This window comes from Homo sapiens, chromosome 10, assembly GCF_000001405.40.
Source record: "Homo sapiens chromosome 10, GRCh38.p14 Primary Assembly".
Taxonomy (NCBI): domain Eukaryota; kingdom Metazoa; phylum Chordata; class Mammalia; order Primates; family Hominidae; genus Homo; species Homo sapiens.
The window spans coordinates 4,047,727-4,063,194 of NC_000010.11; the positions used below are offsets into that span (position 1 = coordinate 4,047,727).

At 39.7% G+C, this 15,468-nt stretch overlaps 1 long non-coding RNA gene across 9 annotated transcripts in view; it reads left to right on the plus strand.

Annotated features, from left to right (window-relative positions):
- The window catches only part of LOC107984195 (uncharacterized), a 59,329-nt gene that overhangs the window by 22,805 nt on the left and 21,056 nt on the right, over positions 1 to 15,468 (plus strand). For 5 of the 9 annotated variants that reach the window (NR_176071.1, NR_176064.1, NR_176068.1 and 2 more), the window contains 2 exons: positions 3,991 to 4,431; positions 4,920 to 5,294. This is a non-coding gene — a long non-coding RNA (uncharacterized LOC107984195). Of the gene's footprint in view, positions 1 to 3,527; positions 3,613 to 3,743; positions 3,949 to 3,990; positions 4,432 to 4,919; positions 5,295 to 7,472; positions 7,608 to 15,468 lie in introns of those variants that run through there. The other 4 variants (NR_176070.1, NR_176069.1, NR_176061.1 and 1 more) reach the window with 3 other exon arrangements.

Sequence of the window (15,468 nt, forward strand, 5' to 3'; positions counted from 1 at the left end):
GTTCTCCTGCCTCAGCCTCCCTAGTAGCTGGGATTACAGGGGCCCGCCACCACGCCCGGCTAATTTTTGTATTTTTAGTAGAGACAGGGTTTCGCCATGTTGGTCAGGCTGGTCTCAAACTCCTGACCTCAGGTGATCCACCTGCCTCGGCCTCCCAAAGTGCTGGGATTACAGGTGTGAGTCACAGTACCCAGCCCAAGAGACTATTACTCTTTACAGTTCTGATCTGTAAGTCTTGACTATCACTCTTTACAGTTCTGATCTGAGAGTGGTATGATTGTCGGCAACTTCTAGCTGAGAGTGGTATGATTGTCGGCAACTTTTGGAAGAAGGATCTGGAGAAGATGTGAAATTCTGTATGAGATATTTGTTGTTTTGCAGATTAACCTAACACAGAATGATACGGAAGTATGTTTTATTTAAAAATCAAATTGTAAGTATATAGGTAATGGGGAATTCTCAAAGTAACCAAAGATTCCTTTAGGATTCTGCTGATGATTTGTGAGCAGAGCCTCTGCTTCCTTTCCCTTTAAGTACGGCAGACTAAACAGACCCAAATAGAGTGATTTATTGATTCCATGGAAAGTATTAAAATCACATATTCCAAGCAAAAAATATCTTTATCATTATGCTAACCACTAAGTTGTGTTATTTCCCCTCACATGATACTCTGAGTGTGTCTTTTTGGTGGAGTGTGCAACTGTCATACCTAGATCATTGCAACACTTTCCCAGATGAATGACCTAACATGGACTCTCCATATTCTTTTTCATTCTATGCACTACAGCCAGACTAATCTTCCTTAGAAATTACTTTCATCTGTCTCCTTGCTTGAGCATTTCCAAAAGCTCAGTGCACTGCACTACGTCAGCCTCTGTGTCCTCCAGGATCTGATCCTGCTATTCTGGAGAACAAACTCCTCCCACCATCCAAGTGCCCCACAGGCCAGTCTGATTTATTCCTGGACTCATCTGACCTTGGCCCAAGAGGGCCTTAGTTGCAATACACTGTCCTATCTCCTCTTCTTATCCAGAGCAATATGGTCCACTTAGGCAATTTGGTCCAGAAGGTCTCCCTGAATCCTAACACCCCAGCTGTCAGTGTTACTTCTCTTTGAGTCCTTAATCCTTCAAGTTCACAGTCATAAAACCTGGATTCATCTTTACCCTCTACTTGTTTCATGAATGTGAGCCTTGGGACCTACGTAAATGGTGAACTCTTAGAAGGCTAAGACCGTGATATTTTGTCTCTTCAATAACACTGATCAAGATAGCAACAAAACAAAAGCTATGACAAAAAAAGAGGTACTTTTAAAACTCTTGGCTTGATACTCAGAAATTACATATTTAACCAATCTTTGACTAATATTCTCAGTAACCTAAAACAGTCTAAATTCAACAACGGGGAAACCAAAAAACTGAACACAAATGCATTGATTTTACAGCCTTGTTTAGGGTTTTTGTAGGCATAGAAATAATATGACATTACATAAGGGTATGGATTTCAGGGATAGAGATCAGTCACCAGCACACCGGGGAACACATTTTGTCTCATTCCATGATCTATCAAAGAGCTGTTAGAAATCCTAGGGCGAGCACACGGCTGGTGGCCATTCACTGCAAGGAAGGAGAACTGTTCTTTTATTTTTACATGCCAACATCTAATTATGAGAACATTAGCCATTTCACTTATAGAAATCTGTAGATAGTCTTATTTTATTCTCTAATCACAAGTAATATTTCCCATGGTATTAAGAGAGTCAAATTAACTATGATTGCATTCTCACAGCCTGGGAGCTAGACTCCACTCGGGACATCTTTGACGGTGCTGGATGAGAGCTGCTTATTCATTCTGCCTTCAACTATTGTCTGCTATTTTGTAAAGTTTCACCGAAAGATTTGAACGTGGTTTTGGAAATGAACCACCTCCATGCTCAAGCTTGAAAGTTTTCAATACGTGCATATGAACTGAGAACAGGGAGCCTAGGAGAGGCTGAGGATGAGGAAGAATGGGCGGTGTCTTCTGTGATCGAGTTTCCTTAGCGGGGCATTTGTTCCTGGGGGCAGAATTTAGGCACCAGATCAGACTTCTCTACAGAATCAGCTAAGCTGGCTGAGCTGATCTTGAGTAAAGTAGTAAAGTAAATGATGAATTTGTTGATGAGAATCAGCAAATCTAGTCCTACCACTTCATTCCTACTAATCCTTGGCTGGGCTGGGAGGACTTTGTGTGGTAGGGAAACCCATTGCCATGGTTCTAATCCTCACATCCTGGGTGCGCATGGTGCATGTGGCTGCCTTGCCTGGAACATGTGTTCATAGACTGTTCCACATCCTTGGAAAGTTAAGGGGGCTTTACCTAGAGTCTTGTGCCATCTGGATGTCTACCTCTGACTTGCTTCTCTTTAATGAAATTCATGACATGTGAAGTAGTGACCGCCGATTGATGCCAAACAGCAATTTGAGCCTCATTACTGACAATGTTTGTAAAAGCACAAAGTGAACCATTGTGGAAAATTAAGGGAAATGGTACTTATTACGTAATAATAAGAAACTTACACATTATTTTTATTTGGTGGAGATACTTTGGATGGATTTGTATGAGCTAAAATCACATTTTTCCCTTGGCCGGTCTTAATCACACTCCAAGTCTTTGCACTTTCTCATGTTCTCACAGAAGCATCATAGTCATCACTGGAGCAGGCAGGGATTGCTATCCCCATTTTACAGATGATGAGACTGAGATGTGAAGCTCTTTATGAGCATCATAACAACTAACACTTACTGAGTGCTTATAACATGGGAGGCATTATTCAGAATGCTTATGGGTATCAACTAATGAATGTAATCCCAAGGTCAAACTACGAGGTAGGTTCTAGTATTATTTCCATTTTGTAGATGAGAAATTGAGGCACAGAGAGTCTGAGCAACTTGCCTGTGGTCACACAGCTAATAACTGGAACCTAGTTATTCTGTCTTCGGAGCTTCCATTTTAACCACTTTGCTATGCTGTCTTTGTCATTACAGTTCTATAACTAATACTCACTTGCACTTGTCTGTTTATACATCTGCCCTTCCTTTACAGAATTTGAGCTTCTTGAAGGAGATCATTTGTTTCATTCACATTTTAAAATTTTGGTGTTGACATAGTATCCCGGCAAAAGGCTGGTTTTCAATCTGTGCTCACTTGAATATATAAGAATAATTAATCTGCTGCTGGTTTCCTACGAATAAACATTCATGCTACAACTTGAAATCAGCCTTTTGACTTTTAATCTTTTGAAATGTGATTTCAAGGTTTATGTTTTCTGTCTAAAATAGGTCAAATTGTTTTTTGAACAATGTATTCCTTGTCTCAGTTCCAACTGTGAGTATGGGTCAGTTTTCTGGAATGGTCAAGAATAGTTTGACCACACACAAATGTTCACAAGCAAATGGAAATTTGTTTCTAACTTTCCCTTTGCCAAATCACATGCGACACTGTCAGTCCAGACCCTCCTTTTACTTCCTGCTCTCGTTTTCCTCCCCAGCTCCCAGCCTATCTGCGCGAGCTTCTGTGTCCTAAATAACTTGGGAGTTACCAGTCTTCTTTAAGGATCTGGTGTTCTAAAAGGTTTCTAAAGAATTTTATGAGGTTTTTATTACTTAATTGACAAGAATTTATTAGCTAGAGTGGCAAGTAAATAAGGACGTCTTAAAAACAAAAAGTTGTTTTACTTCCCATTTCACTTTCTCTCTCTCTAGCTGTTTTCCTTCACTAATATTTCCAAAACACACAACAACAGTTGGCATCGCTCGCATATAAACAGCTCTTCCATGTCACTGAGAAAACGAGCAAGATCCAGGGAGGAAAAATGGATACAGGATATAAATAGAAAATCCTCAAAACAGGAATTTCAAAATGTCAACAAACAGGCAAAACTTTCTTTCAACAGCGCTATTATGACTGGTATGTTTCACTTGCTTTTTTTTTTTTTTTCTTTTTCTCCAGCAAATTGCTCAAATGTCGGTGTGCTCTCATGAACAGAAACGATGGCACGGTGGGTCCTGGTCTCAAGACTTCCTCTCAATGATTCAGAGGTCTTGGGGGTTTTTTGTCTGAATATCAGGCAAAGAGGAAGGACGGCTACAATGGAGGAGTCTCCTACCACGCTTGTGGTCGTCACTGTAGTGCTCAGTTGAATGGTGTGTCCATTGGGGTTGGAGTCCCCATCCTGTTCTGGGTCCTGGCCCCCCACAGGCTCCAGGGACATAACCCTTCCAGTTCAGGATCATGTGCTGGGGCACTGTTCCCTGAGGTGGGACTCTGGGCTGTAACAGCTGCTTTTGAAGCATGTTCCAGCTTCAACCACGTGCTTGGACGACACCAGCTCTTCCCACATACTCTTCCCCAGCTCTTGTGTTGAGTTTGGCTTCCACCTTCCTCCAGCTGGTAAGGTTCTCTGTTTCTCTTTGATGTGTGGGTTTCAAATCTTGGTCATAATCCCTTCACCTGCCATGCTCTGTTCTACCTTGAATAGGCTTTCATATTTTGAATTCTGGACCAGAGATGGGTTCTTGATACTCATCTTTTCCAGAAAATTTTGCATTGCTTTTGCAAGCAAGCCTGAGCCAACGGCAGAACTCTGCATCGCGCTGTGTTTCAGGGTGGGAAAGCCTTGGCCGCAGGGTAGGGAGTCTCATTCAATATCTGCTGTGGTGACACTGTCTCCTGCCACATAGAGAAGCTGCCAGCATAATGTTACATATGCTGCATGGTTGCACCCACTTATACTGGCAATCAAAACTACATGAATTACTGCAACAAAGAAAGTATTTTTGTCTATTGAATGATCCAAAATTACAAAAAAAAAGTGAAAAAGTGGCTACACTTATGCATCATTTATGGGAGTGTAAATTATATATATATATATTAAACAGGGTCTCGCTATGTTGCCCAAGCCATTCTGGAGCTCCTGCGCTTAAGTGATCCTCCTGCCTCAGCCTCCCAAGTAACTGGAATTATAAATGTGAGCCACTGTGCCCAGCAATTACAAAATTTTTGGAATGCAATTGGGAAGTACAGCTGAAAAACTTCAGCAACGTGGGCTGTTTGATTGTACAATCGCACTTCTTGGAATTTATCCTACAGAAATCAGTAGTCAAGTTCACAAAAACTGACAATAGCCATTACAGAGAAGCAGAAGAAAGGGAAATAAAAACATTCAAACCTACCAACAGGAGATTGGACAAATAAATCATGTTATAACTATACAATGGGCTATTATGTAACCATTAAAATGATCATCTATTCTAGATCTATACTTATTGCAATATAATAATAACCATAATATATAGTTATTTGATAAAAGAAGGTAGCACATGTGAGGTAGTACATCTCATTTCTATTAGAAAAAACTACACACAAACACAAACATCGAAGAAAGGGATCTGGGAAGAGAAGACAAGAAGCTCCCGGTGCATTGCTCGGGAGAAACACAACCTATGCCGTCAGTAACTAATTCCCAGGGCGACATCATTGGCAATTTCACTTATTTATGTTTTTCAATATTGATTATATACATATATATATATATATATATACATATTTAACCAAGATATTATAAGATTATTTTTATTTTTTTGATTACCATTTGTGTGATTGTGGTTCCCAAGTGCCAGGCTCCACAGAAAGTTTTACAATCATTTACAGCTGAAGTCTCAAAACTGCCTCAGGTCAGAATCACCGCGATTCTGTGCTTTTATAAATGAGGCATGCAGAATTGAAACAATTTTACAAGTTCATAAAACTAGTGACCAGTGGAGCTGGTATTTGAACCCTGACCGTCTTGTATGATCATGAATTATTCTCATGGTCAGAAAAAGAGATGATAAAAATCTACTTATTGAAAAAGAAGAAAAGAAAGTATTTCTCTCATCTTCATAACACTGGACAATACTTAACCTCTTTATTCATAAAATATTAAACAAATGCAAAGTTAAATAAGAGGTTGCTATTTTTTTTTTTTTGCTTTTTGTTTTCTCTTTCCACCCAGAGTCTAGAGTATTTCATAGTTAATTTTCTGGTTATTAAAGATATCATCAAGCTGAACATTCTTTCATTACAAGGGATAATCAGCTGATTTCTGTGTTTTTCTTCTCTGTGAGAAACATGCCCACAGAAACTGTTCTTTCCAAATCTACTCATGGACATATTAAAAAGAAGGTCTGCTCCCCTGATGATGCAAGAGGCCCAAGAGTCCGAATGGCAGACCTGATCAAGTGGGCTTGATCACAGGGGCTTGGCTGCTACGAATGCTTGGTGGTGTCCATAGATTACAGAGGTAGACGGTGTTTGTGTTAGTCTGTTCTCATACTGCTATAAAGATACTACCCAGACTGGTTAATTTATAAACAAAGGAGGTTTAATTGACTCAGAGTTCTGCATGCTCGGGAGGCCTCAGGAAACTTACTGTCATGATGGAAGGGGAAGTAGGTACCTTCCTCACAAGGCAGCAGAAGAGAGTGTGTGTGCGAAGGAGGAACTGTCAAACGCTTATAAAACCATCAGGGATCTAGTGCAAACTCACTCGCTATCACGAGAACAGCATGGGGGAAACTACCTCCATGATCCAATCACCTGCCTCCCTGGACAGGTGGGAATTACAATTCAAGATGAGATTTGGGTGGAAACACAGAACCAAACCGTATCAATGTTGATTAGCTATTGGGCAAATCCATGGCAGAAAACTTACTATAAAAACCAGATATTCACAACATTTCCAGCTGCACAGAGAACACTGACAGATGCATGAAAGAAATGTTTTCTGCCACCACGAGCTTTCTGCCATTCTGGAAATAAATAACATACACAGAACACACACAAATACACATGAAATACTATCTCATTATTCCTCCCAGAAAATCTTAAGGCTCATATCCACACACATACATGCATGCACACACATACACTGTTGCTGGACTGTCAAAAAGTAATTTAGGATCACAGTTCCACCACTCTCACACCCACAATAAAGGACAAAGTCAGATAAAGTCAGATGTAGGCTGAGCCCCAAAGCTGCCTTCGTCTCCAGGGAATCTCAGATGACAGTGGAGGGTCTGTGGGAGGAGAGGCCAAGGCTCAGAACCACCAGGCGGGGTCAGAAGGAGACTTCGATGGCTGCACCTTCTGCATGAGAGTGAACTAGAAATAAACACACCTGACAGAAGGGAACACCAGAAAGATGTGCATTCCATCATCCTGGCCCTGAGTGTAGGGAAATGAATCAACAAAGCACTCCTGATCATAACCAGAACCTGGCCCTCACATCAAATTGTAATGCTGTCCGAATAAATTTTCAGCAAAATTTTTGGTCCAGTAAACCTTGAAGACAATTTTGAAGTTTAAAATAATATGCTTAAAAGAAGCAAATACAAATGTTTTCTAGAGAAATAGACCTAGAACACAGCCTCAGATAATTCTCACGGTGGTAGGTTTCAAAGATGATGAAAAACATCATGATACCACACACAACACCTCAAGGAAGAAGGCACAATGAGTGAGACACAGCAGACACGACAGACTGCAGAACCAATCCTGCACACTCTTAGACACTGGAATTGACTAAGGTATGATACAGCTATAGTATATTATATAATGTTATATATAATATAAATGTATCATATACATAAATACTATGTTTATTTATAATATTACTTGTAAATAATTTATAATTAAAATATTTATAAATAAAGATACTATTATATATTACCATTATAAATTGTTATAATTATATACCATATAATTATATATTCTTATAAATTATTATCATTATGAATTATATTACTGTTACAAATGATATATTTATGTAATTATATATTATAAATAATAAAAGGTAACATATGTGTATATTATATACATGCTTCATAAAGTTAAATATAGGAATTGACTAAAAAATGTAAGCAAATAATGACGACTCTACAAAACAGCCAAGCAAATTTGAAAGGAAAACACCAAGTGGAATTTCGTTTTTCTTTTTCTTTTTTTTTGAGAAGAAGTCTTGCTCTGTTGCCAGGCTGGAGTGCAGTGGTGTGATCTCAGCTCACTGCAACCTCTGCCTCCTGGGTTCAAGTGATTCTCCTGCCTCAGCCTCCCAAGTAGCTGGGACTACATATGTGCATCACCACACCCAGCTAATTTTTTTTGTATTTTTAGTAGAGACGGGGTTTCACCATGTTGGCCAAATTGGTCTCGATCACTTGACCTTGTATTCCACCCACCTCGGCCTCCCAAAGTGCTAGGATTACAGGCATGAGCCACCGTGCCCAGCCCCAGGTAGGATTTTCAGAAATGATAAATAAAGTGTCTGAAGTTAAAAAATAATAATTCAGTTTCAATTATGAATTACACAGTTGAAGAGACAATTAGTGAATTGGAAAGTAAATCTGATATAATGATATAAATTGTAGTAATAAAGCAAGTAAAATTAAAGAGGTGTGATGAAGAAGGCGAGTTCTAAAATTCATCTACTCAGATTTCCAAAAGAGAGAATTTGAATAGTTAACATGTAAGGAGTTTCCAGATTTGTTGAAAGACGCCTATTCTGAAGTCGAATATCAAGTAGGATACAGTAAAAAGAAAAATCAACAGCTATATTACTCAAAATACAATTTCAAACAAACAGCAGTTACTTAAAGCCCTTAGTGAGAAAATACAGATTAATTTCAAAGGAATCACAATAAGAACTAACGTTTCTTCCCAGATGCAACAAGGGAAATCAAAAAAGACTTGAAATTACTTCCTATTTGTGTTGAAAAATATCAATAGTCAACCTGATTTTATGTTCACTAAAACTGTTTTTCAAGAATGAGTGTAAAATTAAGACATAAAATCTGAGAGTTGCCAAAGGAACCTAAATAAAGAAAAATTTCAGTTTATGGAATTTAAATGTTATAATTAAGATACAGGGCACAAATGTTATAGACATTCAATATGCATAGACCTTTGCGTTGTAATGGAGAAGGGAAGAGATGGTGATTAAATTTTGACTTCTGTATGGGAACTGTTAAATAATACTAAACACTAACATAATAGAAATAGGGACTGTAAATTCAACTTGGTGGAAAATTTTTAAATGTAGGGAGAGGAAAAAAGCCTCTAAATTCAAAAAACGCCAAGAAGGAAGAAAAGTCCAAAAGAATGATAGCACGCATGAGAAGAATAGAAAGCACAATATGAGATAGTAAAATAAAAGTCAAATATGTCAGCAATCCAAAAGGTTCTGATGGAAGAACAGGCTGAGCTTCTGTAAGGAAGAGAAGAGGAGTGGATTTCTCCCTCTCTGGAGAGTCCCCACGAGTGGACATAGGCTTGTGGATGGCCCTGCACACTCTTCTCTCGGCCTGCTTCACTGGCTCTAAGGTGCCTTTTCAGCTGTGACCATAGCTGGGTCTACAGGAACGGGTGAAGGTGGACACCTAGGAGCTCCTTTCTCAGACTGAGACCCAGTCACCCCCAGCAGCCTGTGCACCTTTGCTCCATTCTACTTCCCCCAGCTCACTCATACGTAGCTACGAGCACTCCCAGGACACACTCAGCTCAGGGAAGGACCTGGGAGAAGGTTCTATGAGTAGAAGGAAGAAGTGGAGAATGGAAACTGTAGGCAATTAGCACTCTTCCCTTCAACACTAAATGGGAATCGACTCAACATTCTGGTTGAAAAGCAAATATTTTCATACTGGATTAAAAAATATCTAGCTAAATGCTATTTACGAGAGACACATCCAAATTACAAGAATTTAGAAAATTTGGCAGTTAAAAGAATTTTTCTTCTTGTAAACTGATTATCTATATCTATCACTGTTATAAACTGATATACATATATAAATGTTATGTAAATACACACAATTGTACACATATGCGTGTACACACAGACAAACAAAGGAAAGCTGATTTAATGCTCTTATTATTAGGCAAAAGAGACTTAAAAGGCAGAAACCACTACTAAAGATAAAGAGAGAGGATCATTATATAACACAAATGTTTCAATTTTCTCAAGGAAAATATAACTAAGCTTACATACACTTACTAATAAAGTTTCAAAAGTAAATATTAGCAAAACAAGGAAAAATAGAGTTCAGCATTTTATTAGGGAATATTTAATAGAATGGGCTTGCTTCACACTTTCTAGCTGTGTGACATCGGGATGTTTCTTGAGTTGTCTATGACTCATAATGGCAAAATGGTACAATAAGATAAATACTTCCTAATGTATTAAATAAAACAGTGTGGATAATGTACTTAGCAAAGTATCTAGTGTGCAGGAAATAGTCCATCAAAATTAAATACTGTTATTATAACATTTTTGATGAAAGTGGTAATAAAGCCACATTAGAGAAAAAAGACTTGAATTACTTTTGCACCCACCCATAGCAAATAATAATCTTTTCATTTCTGATTGCTGCTATGACCACAGAAAATAACAGAGCCATGAGGAAAGAGGAAAAACAAATAAAAAGCTATCTGATAGTGGAGGTTATTGCTCTATTTCCCTTGGAGGCAAAACATATTTTCAAAAAAATTCTTCTTTTCCTCCAAATTCTCCAACTTTTATTTTTAAATATACGTACTGCTATGAAATCCACATATTATTTTCTGCCTGAGTAATATTTTGAAACGCCAGTGACCATTTTGCTATTGACTCATTACGCTGCCGTTTTTTCGATCTATGTGAACATGTGTAGAAAGCTATGAAAACAGAAAGCACAGCATCACCAAAGGCAAGATAGAACCCACTGTTGGTATTGGATAGCGTTGCCTATATGATCAAAAATGTGTCATCGATTAAGTGTGAAACGTTTATTCTGGTCAATGGCTTCCCAATTTAGTGTAAACATATAATTCTATGCTGATTCCTCTGGTTAGAGCCATAGTATATCACCGTGGTCTTCCAGACGCCTTTGCGTTTACTTTGAGTATAGACATGATTGGGCTCAAGCTAAACTCAGTCGTCTTTGATTTGGTTGCATGCGGAGCCAGTGCCATCCATGCCACTCAGCTTCAGATTGTTTCTAAGTATCCCTGAAAAACATCAGGCACACACAGAACCACTACCTTACCCTTGGGGTTTGTCAACTCACAGACCTACTGCTTTACACAAAGAAGGTGGTTAAACATGCATTTCTTTTAAAGGCATATTTGGTCCCTCTAAAACAGCGCAATAAAATTGCACAATCTAAAGGAAGGAACAGTTTGTTTTGCCCTTTTTATTGCCAGTTAAATGCCAGTAGACTCTTAAAGTAACAGCAACCCGTGTAAAGGGGAAAAAAAAAAGCAAATAAAATTTTTATGAGTTAAAAATAAACCTAATGCTCTTTCCTCTTCCATAGTTTTACAAAACTTTCTATACCTTTTGGCAGAAGGAACTACATATAATATATAATATTTTTGCTCTGCAAATACCAGCAAGGCATCATATAAAATTATAGCTGTAGGAATGGAGATGCTGTAAAACCAAACAGGGAAAAAGAACATTTTCATACAGAGTAACACAGTTGATGTTATTTTCACTCTAACAAAGCAAAATTTATTGTAAGAGTAAAAGAAGCTGGGTGTGGTGGCTAACGCCTATAATCCCAGCACCTTGGGAGGCCGAGGTGGGCAGATCACTCAAGGTCAGGAGTTCAAGACCAGCCTGGGCAACATGGTGAAGCCCTGTCTCTACTAAAAACACAAAAATTAGCCAGGTGTGGTGGCTCATGCCTGTAATCCCAGTTACTCAGGAGACTGAGGCAGGTGAATTTCTTGAACCCAGGAAGCAGAAGTTGCAGTGAGCCAAGATCGTGCCACTGTACTCCAGGCTGGGCCACAGAGCAAGACTCTGTGTTTAAAAAAAAAAAAAAAAAGAAAGAAAGTGGCGTTGGCTGTATGCTTTATTTTGCTTGTATAAAACCTCTTAAAAATAGCATTCATTATAGGTGGCTCTTATTTTTAAACAGAGCAGTTGCTTCTTCTGTTCTGTGTCTGATTTAACACCTGAACGCCTTGTGACCCTTTTCAAGCATTTTAGCTGTAATGGTGCATCGGAGCCATCTGGAAGCCCAAGGGATTCTGATCCAATTGGCCTGAGGTGCCTCCGGGGTCTTTTCTTCCAGGAGTTTTCAAAGCTCCCCAGGTGACTGACGGGTAGCCAAAGTTGAGAACCACAAGTTAGATGACATCTAACCACAGCTTAGATGAGCAGGGATGCACAAAGTCAGTGGTAATGTGGAACGTCCGCCAAGAGGAAGCTACACCTCAGTCGTTAATGTCTAGTCTCCTTCCTGTTGCCCTGAGTTTAACTAGCTGTGATGCTACTCTTGACCACCTGGCCCAGGGCACCACCCTCCTTCCACCAACCCTAAATTTCACCTGAAGGGACCAGAGTAACGACGGTTTGGGAGTGGCGAGACAGGAACAGGGGAAAGGGACTCTTTTGATTTCCATTTTTTTCCCATCTTAAATGCTGACATATGCTCCAGAAAGTTTGTGTTGGTCTCCAAACACCAGCCAGAAGGGTTGCTTTAGCGTCGATGGCCTTGAGTTTCTGTTTGTTTCATTTTGTGTGTCCAGCATATCTTCTTTCGTGCATCAACAATTGTGTATAGCTTGCCTTAGGCTGAGCAGCAGGAGTGACAGACTTTTTTGGGGGGTGGGGGGCGTGCATCGGGGAAGAAGGGGAACCAAGAAGATGGGAAGGAGCCTGCAGAGGGTGTTTGGCTGGCATCACTTAGGCTAACCTTACCCAGGGCCAAAGATGTGGCACAGGCTGGCACAGAGTTGGAAGCTGATGCATGTTCATTATTTACCCTCAGCTAATGTCCAGTGCAGCTGCTGACATCTAGCACAGCTCGGCAAATCAAGCTGGCCAGAGATGGAAAATATTCTTACCCAAAACTTGATGGAATGCTAAGGGTGTCCCGGCATATTATCTGGAAAAATGTCATGGAAGGACTAGAAATTAAGCTGGATAAGGAAGACCTGATCCCTCCAGCTTAGAAACCTTACCTATTCAAAATAAGAGCTGCTGTTTCCTGTTGGATTCATAGACTATAATAATAATTTGTAATAATTTAGTTATAGTAATAGTTTCTTGTTACTATAATAATTATTTGTGAGAATTTGCTGGTAAACAGTAATTTTGTATTAGATAGTAATAATTAATTTATATTATGGTAAATCTAGAAATTACTAAATTTTATAAATAATTAATAAAAACTGAACCCCAAATTAGAACAGTGATGACAAAAGTAATAACGATAATCACAACAGTGTATATATAATATATATATATTTCCACATATAACTATATGGAGTTATCTTTATTATTCAGTTGCTCATGTATTTATCTGACTGTTTATTAATTACCTGGCTTCTAGGTGTTAAGCACTTTGTTATATGTTAAGTATACAACAATAAAGAAACAGATAGGGTCTCCATCCTCAGTAATTTGGTAGACTAGTGAGAGACAGGCATTAAACAATTAAAAATTCAAGGGTATATATTATGGCAAAAATGTGTTAAGGAAAAGAACTGGGACATGAGATAATTTATCCAAATTCCTACTTGGGTTCCAGTGATCTGAGGATACCCTTTAAGACCTTTAAGAAAATGACATTTAAACAGAATCCTGATTGATGGGCAAGAATCATTTTGGTTAAGAAATGGAAGGAGTTCATTTTATGCAGGAAGGGGAATGTGCAATGAGGTAAAAATACTTCCTGAAGAAGGAGCACTCACACATGCAGGCATGTGCAGGCACACCCACAACACGCCCTCACACATGACAGTCCAGCACGCAGTGTGCATAGACAGTCACGCTGGTGTCTGGCCCCCTCCCAGAATCTATGAAGATAGGACAAACTAACTGGGTGCCAAGGACCACAATTTTCAAAAACAAGAGCAGGGAAGTGCTGAGCGTCTGGGCAAATAAGTCTAGACTCTGATCTTGAAGATATGAATTCATTTCAGAACATTTGCTTGGACTATCTCCTTGTGCTTGCATAATCTTGCCTACACCACGATGTGCTAAGTTTAGACGTTCCTCCAGTCTTCCAGCAGGCAGTATGGCAGAGAGGGAGGGAACGGGCTCAGCCCAGGGCTCCCCAGTTCTGCTACCACCAGGGAGAGGGAGGGGTATTGTTCTTACTGCAGAAAGTGCCAAGACTTGAACCAAATGTTTATATTGTGTTTTTGAATTTCTGCTTGGGGAAGAGACAGCCTACCAATGACTTCAAGAAAATATGTTGGCTCTTTTTCTGCAAATAGCCTTTCTGGTTTTTATGGCAAATAGAAGAAATGTCTCTCTTTAGTCATTGAGCCACTTTGTTGTGATTTTTTTTCTAAAGTATGTTGAAAGTCATGTGGATATTCTTCTAGGTGTTGTGAGCTGTGCTATTTTCCAGCAATGTGGAGCTCCTCTCATTCCAAGAACAGGGCGATAATCTGTTATTGGAAGATGAATAATGTAGTTTCTTGACCAGGAGAAGGGGAGCAAGATGTTACTGAAGCAGTTTACAGTTGAGCCAAACTGCATGTTCCCTGAGTCACTTCATTCACGTTGTTTTATTTTGATTGATGGTGTATGAATTTTTTTTAACAGCTTTGACCTTTGTCCAAATGCTTCTAACTGATCCTCATCTTGAATCTACAGTGAGGCCATCAGCTGTGTCTCCCCTCCCTGTCCCTTCTCCTTCCTGTCATTCCACAAGCCCTTCCTGCTGAATCTAGCCCTAAATCCGGTTTTGTATTTTTATCCATGGCAGACCTTAGATTATTTCTGGTTGGGATTATTGGGATTATTTCTAAATATGCTGGAATTTCTGCTTTTGTTGTGTCCATCCCAGCGTTGATTTAGATTTTCCTCATTTTAGCATCAGAACGGACACGATTGCTAAGAATTCCTTCAGATCTGCCCATGGCGTGGAGCCACTTCTTCACCGTTCCAGAGCCTAAACCCTGCGAATCATGGGTGGCTGGCTGGCAGATGCTTCTCTTGAGAGTTGATAGTGTCCTTGGGCCAACACTCAACCAAGGAGCCCTGCGGTGAGATCACCTGTCACTCTAAGGAGAGAAACTGATTCCTACAGAACAGAGCTGGGCTGCAGTGGCCTCAGGGCAATAATGTCACAGGCCTTTGAACGCATTCAACAAAACTCCCAGTCTCTGGTTAACAAGCGAATGCGCCTGAAAGAATGGGACAGATAATGACAGGTGAATGCCCCCTGACCTGTGTGGCCAATGGCCCAGCAGGACTGGCATTACTCCAAAATTGTCAGAAATCCAGGCTCTCAGGCCCCGCCCCACCACCCAAACCAGAAACCATGTGGACAAGATCTCCAGGTGATTCAAATGCACAATAGGCCTGCATGAGTAATGCATATCAAGAAATCTTCGCTTCCCTTAACTACCTAGCGGGACACCAAGGGAACCTCCTAGAAGAAGTCTTGGATG